Source organism: Homo sapiens, chromosome 14, assembly GCF_000001405.40.
Source record: "Homo sapiens chromosome 14, GRCh38.p14 Primary Assembly".
Lineage (NCBI taxonomy): Eukaryota > Metazoa > Chordata > Mammalia > Primates > Hominidae > Homo > Homo sapiens.
The window spans coordinates 22440082-22454098 of record NC_000014.9 but is presented as its reverse complement, the minus strand read 5'-3'; the positions used below and the strand labels follow the sequence as shown (position 1 = coordinate 22454098).

Below are 14017 nucleotides of genomic sequence, written 5' to 3'. Positions count from 1 at the left end.
TTTTCTCTAGGTTACGTGTGACTTCCATTCTACTCCCCAATCTTCCCTTTCGAATCCAAAAGCAGTAGTCCTTACAGTGGCCTACAAGCCACCCTCTCCCCAACCCATCACCAATCTGACCTCATTTTCACATTCTCTCCCCATCACTCCCTCCCCTCCTCCAGCCACACACCCCAGGCAGCCCTGTGTCCCCTCTGCCTGGAAGTGCTCTCTCTCCAGAGGTCTGCATGCCTCACTTTACCACCTCCTCGGGTCTCTGCTCCACTGTCACCTTTCCAGTGAGACCTTCTGTGACTCTTCTGTTTAAAACTGCATGCTGGTCCCTCCCACTAGTCCTCTTTATTCTCCTTCCCGGCTTTATTTTTCTTCTCAGGGCTTATTACCACCCTAACGCACTGTATATATTTTTTATTTATTTATTTAGTTTACCATCTGTCTTTTGCCATTAGAAAATAAGCTCCAATATGGCAGAAGTTCATGCCTGCTTTGTTCATGTCGATTCCCTGGCACCCAGAACAGTGCCTGGCACTTCGTGGCAGAGACCTGTGATGGGTTGCAGAGCCAGGACTCAGGCTCGGCTCTGTAGGTTACCAGCTTCCCTTCATTTTTCTTTTCTTTTGCTTTATACCATAGCTGACTTTTTCTCTGATTCATTCATTCCTTTATTTATTCATTCACTCATTCAACAAATGTTTGTTTAGTGCTTTCAGTGTACTTATAGGTGCAGTAAGAAACAACTCAAAGTCCTTTCTCTCACAGAGCAAGGGAAACAGACAGTAAACGAGCATATAAAGATTCAAGTAGACATGAGGGCTATAAATAAAGCAGGGAAAGGGGTCTTCAGAGTGACATGAGGTGGTAGGGAAAGGATTCACTGGAAATGACATTTGAGTGGAGACCTGGAGGAGGGGAGGGAGAAAACTGTGTGAGTCCCTGGGAGAAAATGGCTCCAGGTGGAAGGACTTGCAGGTGCAAAGGCTCTGTTCTGGGAGATGCTGACTGGGAGTGAGAGGGAGTGCCAGATGCCAGGCCAAGGGCTAGTGGGCCTGGAGGAATGGGAAGGTCATCTTTTGGAATCTGAGAAACATTTTGATGAGGCCAGAATTATGTGGACTCCTTTTCTTGAGGGAAAGAGTGATGCTCTGATCATCGTCTGGACCTTTCTGTATTTAGGGACCCTGGGTCTCCAGGGGTGTAATGTGAGAGATGGGCCTCACCTGGCTCCTCCTGGGGAAGGGGAATGCTGCTTTGGGTAACTGGTTTTGGCGGGGGTTCAGAAGTTCTTCCTTGGTGAGAGAAGTGATGGGGATGGCACTGGAAGGGAAGTGGCATAACTGTTGTTTCTGATTCAGCTTGAAAAGGAGCTCATTAGAGACCTGAGGCAGAGGCTGGGCCAGGCAGGAAAAACCTCCACACATGCCCTAGTCTAGCTGCAGCCCTGATGGAAGAGCAGACTTCTTAAGAGCACAGATGCTGGCATCAAGCAGGTGATTCAAATGATGACTTTACTAAGCTGTGTGATCTTGAGGAACCCCTTTAAGATTCAGTTTCCTGATCCATAAAACGCAAGTCATGGTACCTCAATTCCACATGATCGTAGTGAGGACTGAGTGAAGTGATAATCATTAAAGGACTTAGCCCAGTGGCCTAATAAATGGTAGGCACTCAAAAAGTGGTAGTTACATAATTGTGACATACAATAATAGATTGCATTCAAAGTCCATCACATGGCCCACTTCCACGCAGATGTTCCCAACGACCATGCCTCTTTTCCCCACTGCCGCTGTTGTTACCATAGAAGTACACGTTTCCATTACTTTATTCCATGCTGTTTTGTCCTGTTTCTCTGTTCTGTTTTACGAAGCTAAGTGGTCTCTCCAGGTTTACTGTATCCAGAGGACTAAAGTGTGGGATCTACAGCTGTGGGTTTGTATAGACCTGTTCTGTTAGTTTTGTGCTACCCAGGAGCTCCGTAAGTAAGAACTTGAAAGAAGCTCCCAAGGAAAAAAAAAGCATCAAAAGGCTTCTGAGAAGATAAAGGCCCTGGGTTTGCAGTGCAGTCTCTTTAATCCAATGTTGGTAGCTTAAAAATAGAAGCTGCCATTCAAAGATATTCTAGGTTGTGCCCCCTCTGGATACCCCTTACTTTTTCACTTCAAAGGCTGATGAAATGCACCAATATGAAGTTCAGCACTTCCCAAACTTCAATTAAGCACATCTCCCCCGCTTTTTTGGTCATAGTCATCTGTCATAATTTGCTTAATAATTTAAAAAAATTTATTCACTTTTTAACTTAAAATATAATTAAAAGGAAACTTGAAATCACATGGGTTTGATAGCCTAGTTGTACTATTCTGATAGCCATTAAAAGATAGATCCATGCAAATAAAAAGAACGTCTCTCCATCTGAAAATATGTGCTGTGCACTCCGCAGTTAGGGAAATATGGACCAAGTAAATGGGTAAACAGAGGAACTTAATTCATCCCTTACTTGGCAAACAAAGGGAAATTAGGATAATCAGTCTTTAGCTTTGTTGGAATTGTGGATAAACTTATTTTAGTGAAAATTTTAAGGATAATAAGGTCTAAAGGCAAAGGCCCAAATTAGTTAAAATTTCAAAATCTTACTAAGATGTTGATTTTTTAAAAAAGTCTGAACATCTCTGCACTGACTCCACTAGCACAACTTTGGGTGTCTTTCTCCCTGACGGCAGGGCCCCTGCCCCTTTTCTCCCTGCAGTGTGTGAGGTCTTGGGTTGCTCATGCCTGTCCTTCCCCTTCCTCAGCCTCCTTGCCTGCATATGCCTGGAACTGCTTTGTCCCCATTTGGTCTCTGAGAAGAGCCCACCATCACCACCCTATCTCTCTAGAGCCTTCTTTTACCTTGAAAAACCTGAGCTGAGTGCCAAAGTCCCAGCCAGGGCAGGGCATGCTGTTTCTTTTCCAACAGCTGGTTGGGCAGATTTGGGACCACTGACCCCTATTGCTAGACTTCCCTAGGACCTTCGAAATGGGTTTTTGTATTGGTTTATTACATTTTCTTACTTAAGATTAATATGTACTATCTAACTGGAATCTGCTGCCAGGTGGAGACCACTGTCTTATTTTATTTTATTTTTTAGCAAGACACGGTCGAATTCAAATGTCATTGAAAGGACACCAAAGATGCCTTCTGTGTTGAGCACAATCCTTCAACAACCTTAGCATTGATTCTTGCATAACTGTTAATAAGTGACTGGCACCATATACTCTTTGCAAAAACGATGAACACTGGTGAGTGGTAGGGAACTCTCCTGGCTGTGTCCTGGAGACTTCAAAGCATTTCTTAGTTGGAAGCACTACACATTCACTTTGTCCTGCTTGGAATCTGGTCTCAGTGGGAACCAGAATGTCCCATATTTCTCACTAGTAACCTAGTTTTCATTTGCAGCTCAAACAATTAGAAACAAATGTCTGAAACAGGTTATTTTCTTCTAAAGAGAAATATCGCAACACCAGGGACTACTTGCGCTCGCCCCACCCTCCATGCCCAGGAGACGGATTCAGTTCTGAGCTCTTCCAGGAGGATGTGTTTGGCATAAGGGAGGTCAGAACGTTTGGAATCACGTTGGTAAAACCACCTGGACTCAAGTCAGCTTCATTCTGTGTCCATTCTGACTCTGCTCAGGGAGTTGGGCCAATGACTCTGTGGTTTCTACAGCCTGACCCAAATTCGATGGACTGGGCAGAGTTCTCTGTTTCCTCTGAGCCAGAAGGGTCCCTTCATATGCCCCAAACTCTTTTTTTACAGACACCTTCTGCTCCTCTCCTATGGAAAGGATTAACCATATTTCACCTCTTCCCAGGAGTCCTCCTAAATGCTAGCTATTTCACCCATTTCCCATTTCAGGATTATTTCTGCCTCCTTAGATGGAGGATGCCTTAACCTTAAACTTCAGATAAATAAATGAGTTACTTACTTGGTTCCACAGTCACACGGGTTCCTTTTCCAAAGATGAGTTTATCGGTGTCACAGCACTTGAGGACGTTCCAAAAACCTCAGCGCTGCTCCCACCTACCTTCTTCCCGTCAGCTTTAGGACTGGAGGATCTTTAAGGCTCAGCTCCATGAAAGATGGCACTTGTTGCTTACCCAGCCGGTTCATAGATGGTTAATCATCTGCAGGTAGGGACAGGTTTGCTTTCGGAAGGCTGTTGTCTGAGGAGTATGGAGGACCATATTTCCTATGGCGGACCTTTCCAGCACAGTACACTTGATGCAGTGCTCTGAACTGTTGCTTTCTATTGTTTTACATTGCTCTCACTTCCTAGACCCATACTCAGCTCTCTGTGTTGGAAAGCTGGCACTGTCAAAGGGGTGGGTCTTGGCTCCATGACTACTCCAGGGTTAAGGCCTTTACAGACACCAGTGCTGCTGCTTTAAAGGCAGATAACGTGTGGCACAGCAAGAGGAGAAAGGGTGGCATGAAGCACTGGGTGATTTACAGAGCAGTCAGCTTTAGAATGAGCAACTGTGGCCGGTGATTGCCTACAAAAAAATCAATCTCTCTTCAAATCCATCCTCCCAAACTGCAAAGCAAAGCACTTGGGTAAATCTCTCTAGAGGTTTGAATTTAGAAATTCCGTATGAGGTGGCTCATATAACTCTCTTTTGCAATAGAATCAACATGAAAACAAGACAAGAATAGTTTTTAAGAAAGGCCTTTTTGTATTCCCCAAATGTGCTGTAAGAAAATGTAGAAATGCCAGTTTCACCCAAGGAAGAACAGCAGTGAGTGAGAGGTCAGCAGCTGTGGTCATCTCCCTGGTCCAGTCAACTTCCTGCTATCCCTTCCAGGCCCCAAAGCAGGGAGGGAAGCTGCTTGCTGTGTTTGTCTCCTGAGGCATGGGACCCAGGGTGAGGATATCCCAGGGAAATGGCACTTTTGCCCCTGCAGTTTTTGTACAGGTCTCTGTAGGTTTTGTAGCACTGTGCGTATCCCCCAGTCACAGTGCTACAGAGCTTTACAAAAACTTCCCCTCGGTTTCACACTATATGGCCCCTGAGAATCCCCAGAACCAGATGTTTTCTCCAAGTCAAGCTCCAGCAAGATCAAAGGGTCCTGACAGTTAGGTCAGGCCAAGCTGGCTCAGGTGCTTCTGTCTGGGGCTCTTCTGCCCCACTGGCTAGATCTGCCTTGGGGTTTGTGACTAGAATGGACTTTTAGAAATAATCACATCCATTCCCATCTGTGCTTTCTGGCCAGTCTGCCCTCAAATGGTTTCCCACTGAGGAGTTTGTCGGGTACTTAAACGTCTCATGGAGATTCTACATGCTGTGGGTTAGGCAGAAAAGGCTTGTGGTCAGTGTAATTTCTCCTGTCACCTGCTAAGCTTCTGAATCACCTCTTCCTGCTTTACACTTGAATAGTGTTATACAGTTTACAAAGGGTTTTCATGTAAATTTAAAATTGTGTCCCCTCCATTGACCTCCTCCCAGTTGCTAAATTCAGGCCAGTAGCCCATATGGTGCTTTGTGCGATTTAGAAAAGGCAGCCCTGCTGGGTGAATGTAGAGATAGCCCCTTGGGTTCAAGCTTGGCGAACAGATTGCACTTTTGTGTGGTTTATAAAAGGCCTTCCCTTTCCGGAAGATGCAACGCCACATCAGGGCCTTGGCTGGCGGCAGAGCACGCATTGAATTTTAGCCCCACTTCTCCTCTCTGCCAGATGCCCTTGTGAAGGCACAACCTGAGCAATCAGAGGCAGCAGCTCTGGCCAAATTCAACGGATGATTTTCAGTTTTAATCTTGTTTGACCTCAGAGTTTTGACCCAGTCATTGCCTTCTCAAAACCTCTCCTCAGGGCTCACAAGACACTGGTCTTGTTTGCCTTTGATCTCTGTTCTAGTGCTGTCAAAACAAAGCAATATGATAGGTGATAGGCTCATCGAAAGTGACCTTATTAAACTTTAACCATGAAAGAAGAGTAGGAATTTTGTTGTTGTTGCTATTTATCAACAGGGAGCAGGAATTTAAAAAGGTTACTCTTCACACTTTCCCTGGAGTCTTATCCAAATCCATGGTTTGATTTAATTATGACTATTTTACCTATGACCTTTGTAATGACTTTCCACCCTACATACAGCTGCATGCCTGCCCCATAAACTCCAAGGAACGTTATCTCTCTATATAAAGTCTAACATTCTTTTGCTGATTAAAAAAAAGCAAATAGGAAAAGAGAAAAATAAGAAATGTTATGGCTTCAATAACAGACGATGTAATGGGATGGCATACAGCAAAAGGCCTCATGGGGAGAACCAGGTGAGAATAAAGAACTGTCACTTGGACTCTTGAGTGTAGCTGGCCTTAGGTACTAGTCTTTGAAATGGCAAGAGGTAGCTGATTGATGAAATAAGCTTCTGACTCACCCATATGAGACTCATTGAGCTCCTTCTAGTGCTGGTGACTTTCCCAAGAAGCAGCCATCAGAAACTGGTGTGAATAGGATTAGTTAGAGGAAACAGAAGTTGGGAATCCTGATGAGAATGCAGCTTCCCAACTCTTCACTTCCTCCCTGTAATAGAAGTGTACCTCCAGGTTCTTTGCCATGGGACTTTGCAGGGCTTCCTACTACAGGCTCTATTGACATTGGGGCTTCATTATGTTTTGATTCATAGAATATGAGTGGAAGTGACGGTGTGCCAGTTCTAAGCTGAGGCTTCAAGACACGTCACATAATGGGTTTCCACCAGCACTCTCTCTTTTTTTTTTTTTTTTTTTTTTGAGACGGAGTCTTTCCCTGTTGCCCAGGCTGGAATGCAGTGGTGCGATCTCATCTCACTGCAACCTTTGTCTCCCAGGTTCAAATGATTCTCCTGCCTCAGCCTCCTAAGCTAAGTTGTTGCTAATTATAAAATCTTTTTTTTTTTTTTTTGACAGAGTCTCACTCTGTCGCTCAGACTGGAGTGCAGTGGTGCGATCTCAGATCACTGCGACCTCTACCTCCTGGGTTCAAGTGATTCTACTGCTTCAGCCTCACAAGTAGCTGGGATTATAGCCACTCCCACCACACCCAGATAATTTTTGTATTTTTAGTAGAGACGGGGTTTCACCATGTTGGTCAGGCTGGTCTCGAACGCCCGACCTCAAGTGATCTGCCCACCTTGGCCTCCCAAAGTGCTGGGATTACAGGTATGTGCCACCGTGCCCAGCCTGCTAATTAGAAAATCTAAGCTTCCAGGAAAAATTAGAGTTTTAGGAAATTTATGTTTGTCACTGTGAAGTAGATAGCTCACCAATATTTAAAAATTTTTCCTGACTTAAAGAGACCAGTGATGATGTTAGCTACTGTAATATTTTGGTATTGAATAATAAAATGTGTGCTAACAGGTGGAAGCTGCTTAACAGCGAACCAATTTTCTCAAGTGACTAATGGATGGGTTAAGAAGCATGCATGGGTGAACGTTCTATCCAAATTTCAGGATAAACCAATGTTTTAATGTAACAGAATATGATAAGTTCACTAAGATGGTATCAGATTTCACATTGCAACTAACCTTCAAAGAAACTACCTCTTGTCAAATAATTATGGTGCAATATAAAGAATATCATGTCCACAATATTTTGAACAAGCTATTAAAATACTCCTTTGTTTTCATACTACATATCTATGTGAGGCCAGATTTTTCTCATATATTTCAACCAAACCAACATACTGCAATAGGTAGAGTGCATAAGCAGACATGAGAATCCAACTGTCTTCTGATATGCCAGCTCTTCTCTGACAGATATCTGAAGACTGTGATCACTATGATACCTCCCTTCCTTTGGTCTACAGTCTCCCATATGTTTTAGCTATTCCTCCCAGGACATGGTTTGAAGTCTGTTAAACAACCTGGTATCCTTTTTAAAACACGCCGTAGTCTGTCTACAACTCTCAAACCGTGTGTGTTAATACCAGAAGCAGGGGGTAGAGATAAATAACACTAGCTCAAAGTTCACAATCCCAAATATTCTAAGCCTGGAGGATGCCCCTGTTTAATCCCTGTTTCATTTCTTGGCTTAATATCCCATATATTTGCTCCCAAGCATGAGACCTCAACCCAGCCAGGACTGAACTGTACCACAGTCAACTCAGCCTCCAACACTGTCCCTTTCCTCTGAAAATGAGTTTGCCTGGAAAAAAGAACATGACACAGTCTCCTTCCAGGAATAGTTGAACTTCAGGATTCATCCACCTTGTGCCTGCTCTTCCCCATTCCTGCAGAAGAGCATCTCACATAACGATTAAAATCTACACAGAGAAAGAAAGGACCAGGTTGCCCAGACTATCCTAGGGCCACTCCAGGGAAGGGTATCCACTGACAGGCTGAAACAGTCTCAAACCATAAATGCCAGAATGAAAGACCAAAGAAGACATTCGCCTAGTGTACCAAAAAGATCACTGCACTGGGATAGAGATACCCAATTTCTTGTAAGTTCTTTTGAAATTGGGTGACTTGGCCAAGTTGTGAAACCTCTCTGGATCTTTCTAGACTCTCTCATCTGAAAACCTAGGAGAGTGAATACATGATCTTTGAAACATCTCCCAGCTGTGGCATTCGAGGATTCCTCTCCAGAGATGCAATTGATCTTAGTGGAAGAGAACATGACTTGAATACTCCAAATATGTAGACAATGTGAAACTCATTTCTATACAGCTTTAGAATATAGTATATGGTATGGAGTAAATCACAACAAATTAAACTTACCAACCATGTTTAACTCAGGCTAATATTAAAAACCAATGTGTTTTAATACCACTAAACAAATGTTAAGGCAGTATTCCATAAGGCAGCCTAGTACCAGGCACTGAGCCAGAACCTGGGAGTTGGGAAGATCTGGCCATGGCTCTGTCACTTACTAGCTTATCTTCCCTGAACCTGAGATACCTCATCCTTAAAATGGGTTCAGAAGGCACTTTCTGAGCACTCACTGGGTTAGGCTCTGTGCTGGTACATGGTATACAGGGATGAACAAGACAGATCACTTCTCTCAAGGGTCTCAACCTAATGAAGAAGAAAGAAAAAGGGTTTTGAGTGCGAAAATAGAGATAAGTACTGGATGCTATGAAAATTCCGAAAAGGGTGAGCACTTAACCCAGATCACTGGGGTAGTCATTTAGGAATTCGCAGGGAAGCAAACAACTGAGCTAAGACCCTGAAAATACAGAGGGACTACGGACCAATTGGGGGATAGAAGAAGGAAAGGGCATCTCAAGCAAAGAAATATGAAAGAACACAGAGCATTCAGGAAGTAAGTAGTTCAATGCAACTGCATTTAAGGGAGCAAGTAAGCTATACTGTTTTGTCCTGAGGATAATAGGAAACCACCAAAAATTTTAGGTATGCCATTTCATAATTGCTAGAGACATAGAGTTAAAAGCATATGAAGGTAGAATCCTCTCAAGACCCACCATCTGTATTAATCAGCTATTTTTGTTGTAATTGTGATCTATAACAACCCCAAAATTTCAATTGCTTACAGCAACAAACATGTATCACTTTTGCTCACTGGTCTGCAGGCCACCTGGACTTGGCTTCAAGATGTGAGTTGGATTTAGGTCTGTTTTATGTGTCTTCATTCTAGAGGTCAGGGTGAAGTGGCAATGACTCCCTGGATATACGCCTTTCATCTCAAAGGACAGAGGCTAAAGAGTACTGGTGGAGGCCAGGCGCAGTGCCTCATGCCTGTAATCTCAGTACTTTGGGAGGCCAAGGTGGGCAGATCACAAGGTCAGGAGTTCGAGACCAGCCTGACCAACATGGTGAAACCCTGTCTCTACTAAAAGTACAAAAATTAGCTGGGCGTGGTGGCGAGCACCTGTAATCCCAGCTACTTGAGAGGCTGAAGCAGTAGAATCACTTGAACCCGGGAGGTGGAGGTTGCAGTGATCTGAGATTGCACCACTGCACTCCCCCCTGGGTGACAGAGTGAGACTCTGTCAAAAAAAAAAAAAAGATTTTATAATTAGCAACAACTATAAGTTGTTTATTTTAATATGACAGGCTCTGTTCATTTGTTTTTAAGAAAATGCCTGGCAAATCTACAAGTCTGAATAACCATAGTTGCCTGTCAATTGTTCTTTCAAGCAAAAATGTGTGTTTCATGGAAAAAGTAGCTAGTTCAGCTTGCAACTCAAACAACCACACAAGTGTTTCCTCTTAGATAACAATCATAATTTGGAATGTAACAGAAGTGCTTTATGTGTACTTATCATTTTGTCACATAGAATACTAAAAAGACATGTACTCGAAAGTTGAGATTTAATAAAATTAATAATTGTTATTGCTTTGTCAGTATTATGGGTTGAATTGTTTTCCACCAAATTCATGTTGAAACCCTAAATCCCATAACCTCAGAATGTGACTATATTTGCAGAAAGGGCCTTTTGAGAAGTTATTAAGTTAAAATGAGGTCATTAAAGTTGGCCCTAATTCAATCTGACTGATGTCCTTATAAGAGGAGGAAATTTGGACACACTGTGAGAAGAGACACCAGTGTTCCCCACACAAAGAGGAAAGACCATCCTTTCTGGAGGGCACAGCGGCAAGCCTGCTGTCTGCCTGGAGATGGAGGAGGGGTCCTTAGAAGAAACCAACTCTGCCAGCCCTTTGATCTTGGACTTCTATCCTGTAGAACTATGAGAAAATAAATTTCTGTTGTTTAAGTTGCCTAGTCTGTGGTATTTTGTTATGGCAGCCCTAGCAAGGTAATACAGTCAGTATCATTTTTAAGTGAAACTAACTTTTTTCCCCTGAAAATATGTGGCAGTGAAGAATATCATGATTATTAATACAGATTTGATGCCCCCGCCTTGATTCATGCTAAGGCACCAGCAGTTTTATCCATCATTGTTTTTCCACCATCAGTGTAAATATCAACACAACGAAAAAGGCAAGTAATGTTTTGCTGTTATTATGAAAAAAATTCTGACCTCATGGACTCCCTGAAAAGATCTTGAGGTGCTCAGAAGTCCGTGGGCAATACTTTGAAAATCCCTGTCCTAATTCCATGTTGTTTGTGCTACCAAAGTTGCAATAGCAGCTGTAAATACCAAGCTCTCTCCACTGCTTCACCACTCTCTACCTGCCTACTAATGACTGGTAAATCAATTGTATCATATGCTTTGAGTGATGGATGAGTGAGTGGTTAGAAGTCATTTGGAGCAATAGCCTCCCATTTCTGTAGAAATGATTAAATGGACCCACACATTTTGGCTGGACTCTCTAGAGTCAAGGACCATGGATATGTATGTCATCTGCCTCTGATTTCTTCTTGGTGGTACTCTGGAAGTCAGATGCTGGATCTATGATGATGGTGGGAAGGCTCAGTGATGACCTGAGAGTCTGTGTATATTTTCTTCAGTACCCATACTATATTTCTGTGGCAATATGTTAGCCCTCCCATTAAAAATAATAAATGCTTACTTGTTTAAGTGACAGATACTTGAAACTGTAACCTGATGTATTTTGCAAAACCGTAAAGAAGAAGAATGGACCAACATGACTTGCAGAGTTAATGGGTCAAATAATACACTTAGCAACTGGACAAGAATTAAAAGAGACCAGGATTTTTAACTGAGATCCATATTAGGCCCTAAGAATGTATTAAACTTGGTCAGGTTACCTTATTTGAGGGGTCTGGACACACTTTGGATTTTGTCAAAACCTTCTCTTAGCTTCTCTCTGATGCCCACCCACCTGAAGGAGAAGTAACTTGAAAATCATCTGATTGGGGTTCATTGGTACAACTGTGGAAGTCTGGAACTGTCCCACCCCCACTTCTAACACAAGGGGAAGACTTGATCTTGAGTTATTATCATTATCTCAAATCTTGAAAGTCAGTGATTTTAAGATATCTCAGTTATGTCTGTGTCTTGAAAAAGAATAAAAGGAATCTAAAATGTGCACCATCATTATTAGTGGTTTTCTTGTTCATTTTACTCATATAGTTAGTGACAGAATTCATTGTTGTCTTAGAAATATGTTATATAAACACAAGATTTTAATTTGTTCGAACGCTTACAGAACTAGGGAATTCTTCGAGCAGAGCAGTATTCCTTAAGAAAATATGCTAATTTTTAAGGAAGATATTGTATCTCATATTTTCATTGTTTAAATTTGCTGTAGACTTGTTGGCCATTTAAAAATGAAAACTTTATTATTTATTTTTTTGAGACAGGTTCTCACTCCATTATCCAGGCTGGAGTGCAGAGGCATGCTCATGGCTCACTGGGAGCCTTGATCTCCCAGGTTCAAGTGATCCTCCCACCTCAGCCTCTCTAGTAGCTGGGACTGCAGGCATGCACCACTTCGCCTGGTGACATTTTCGTATTCTTTTGTAGAGACAGAGTTTTGCTATGTTGCCCAGGCTGGTTTAGAACTCTTGGGCTCAAGCAATCACCTGCCCTGGCTCCCCAAAGTGCTGGGATTACAGGAGTGAACCACCATGCCCACCCACAAAATGAAGACTTTAAAAAAGGATTTTATTATAAAATTTTTGAAACAATCCAAAAAGAAGAGATTAATAAAATAAGTATCTATAGAATGATCACTTAGATTTAACAGTTGTTAACATTTGTCACATTTTCTATTTGTTTTGCTCGAGTATTTAAAAAAAATACAGATAAAATGACAATTCACTTCAGTATATATTACAAAAAAGGATATTTTTCTACTCAACCACAATACCATTTTCCACCTAACAAAGTTAACAGAAATTCCCGAAAATAACTTAATAGCCAACCCATAGTCAAGTTTTCCTAGTTTTCCTCCAAATGCTCCAAATGTCTTTTATAGATTATTTTTTCCTTTTTCTTTCTTTCTTTCTTTTTTTTTTTTTTTCAGACACAGGGTCTTAAACTCCTGGGCTCAAGTGGTCCTCCAGTCTCTGCCTCCCAAAGTGCTGGGATTACAGGAGTGAGCCACCATGCCTGGCCTCTGTTACAGATTTTTTTTTTTTTTAAAACAAGGATCCATTCAAAGACTGTGCATTTCATTGTTGTTAAATCTTTAAAATCTCTTTAATCTTTAATAGTTCTCCTTCCACTGCTTCCCCTCTACTGCACTTTTTTCCTGCCTTTTCATGACATTGATTATTGGTGGGACTGAACCTGTTGTCCAGTGGAATGTCTCACCTGCTGGATTTGTCTAGATGTTTCTTTGTAGAATCCTTTAATTTGCTTTTCTAGCTTCCTGTCTCCTGTTAGAACTAAAAGTTTGATTAGTTTTAGTTTATTTATTTATGTCAGAAATACTGTGTAGGTAATGTTATGCCCTGTGTATTGCATCATGTCAAGATGGACATAATGGCTTGATAAAGATAAGTGATCATTAGAATAAGATGGCTACAGACATCTTCACAAAGTTACACATTCCCATTACAGCCAGCAAGTAATATGAGACTTTAAAATGTTTTAAAACTTTTTTTTTCTTTTGGCTTGAAATTTTTTTTTTGCATGATTTCTTTGTGTGAAGCAGGAAGCTAGTCATATTTTTTCTTTCTGTAACTGTGAATGCCTACACAGTTTTGTCTGCTATGCAAAAAGAAATGTTGTAAACTCATCAATGTTGAAAAAGTAATACCTAAAGAATATTCACTTTTAGAAAGCAAGTAATCTAAGAATGTTATGTTCCATTTCTGCACTAAAAATGAGAATTTCATTCAAGGTGTTATTTCTGTGAATTGTTTCTATTCCCTGAAAATGGGCTTCTTTGATTTTATTTGATTTATTCTGTCCTTGAAGCCATAAATTCAGTTACTTTGTACAACCTAGGGATGAGGCCTAGGCATAGTTTCCTTCACCTGTGCATTGTTTTTGCTCTCCTAGACTTAAAAAGAGCAACTGGATGTGGTGTGCTGATTGGTGATTGTAATTCAAGAGAAGGGACTAATCCCCATGCTCTTGAATCAAACTCACATAGGGTCAAGAGAAGAGTGAAGGAGAACACAGGCCTTCTAAGCTGTCAGATCTATGATATTAACACTGGTTGATTTG

General features: G+C 41.8%; 1 long non-coding RNA gene, 2 gene segments (V, D, J or C) and 2 further genes, besides 1 other annotated feature; 1 reads left to right on the top strand and 4 right to left on the bottom strand.

Moving 5' to 3' along the window:
- Nucleotides 1–14017, bottom strand: part of TRA (T cell receptor alpha locus) — a 930229-nt gene that overhangs the window by 98034 nt on the left and 818178 nt on the right.
- Nucleotides 1–14017, top strand: part of TRD-AS1 (TRD antisense RNA 1) — a 103555-nt gene that overhangs the window by 28861 nt on the left and 60677 nt on the right. The gene's annotated exons all lie outside the window — the stretch shown is intronic.
- The window catches only part of TRD (T cell receptor delta locus), a 44032-nt gene that overhangs the window by 12479 nt on the left and 17536 nt on the right, over nt 1–14017 (bottom strand).
- Nucleotides 3960–4010, bottom strand: TRDJ1 (T cell receptor delta joining 1). The segment is given in 1 exon segment: nt 3960–4010. A coding segment is annotated over 1 exon segment (51 nt), but the record flags the coding sequence as incomplete, so codon positions are not given.
- TRDD3 (T cell receptor delta diversity 3) lies at nt 4974–4986 on the bottom strand. The segment is given in 1 exon segment: nt 4974–4986. A coding segment is annotated over 1 exon segment (13 nt), but the record flags the coding sequence as incomplete, so codon positions are not given.
- Nucleotides 5613–6148: an enhancer, noted in NCBI's record as "H3K27ac hESC enhancer chr14:22916943-22917478 (GRCh37/hg19 assembly coordinates)". NCBI's record gives its function as "activates a minimal SCP1, AML or CMV promoter by ChIP-STARR-seq in naive H9 embryonic stem cells {active_cell/tissue: H9 hESC(naive)}" and the evidence as "EXISTENCE:reporter gene assay evidence [ECO:0000049][PMID:30033119]".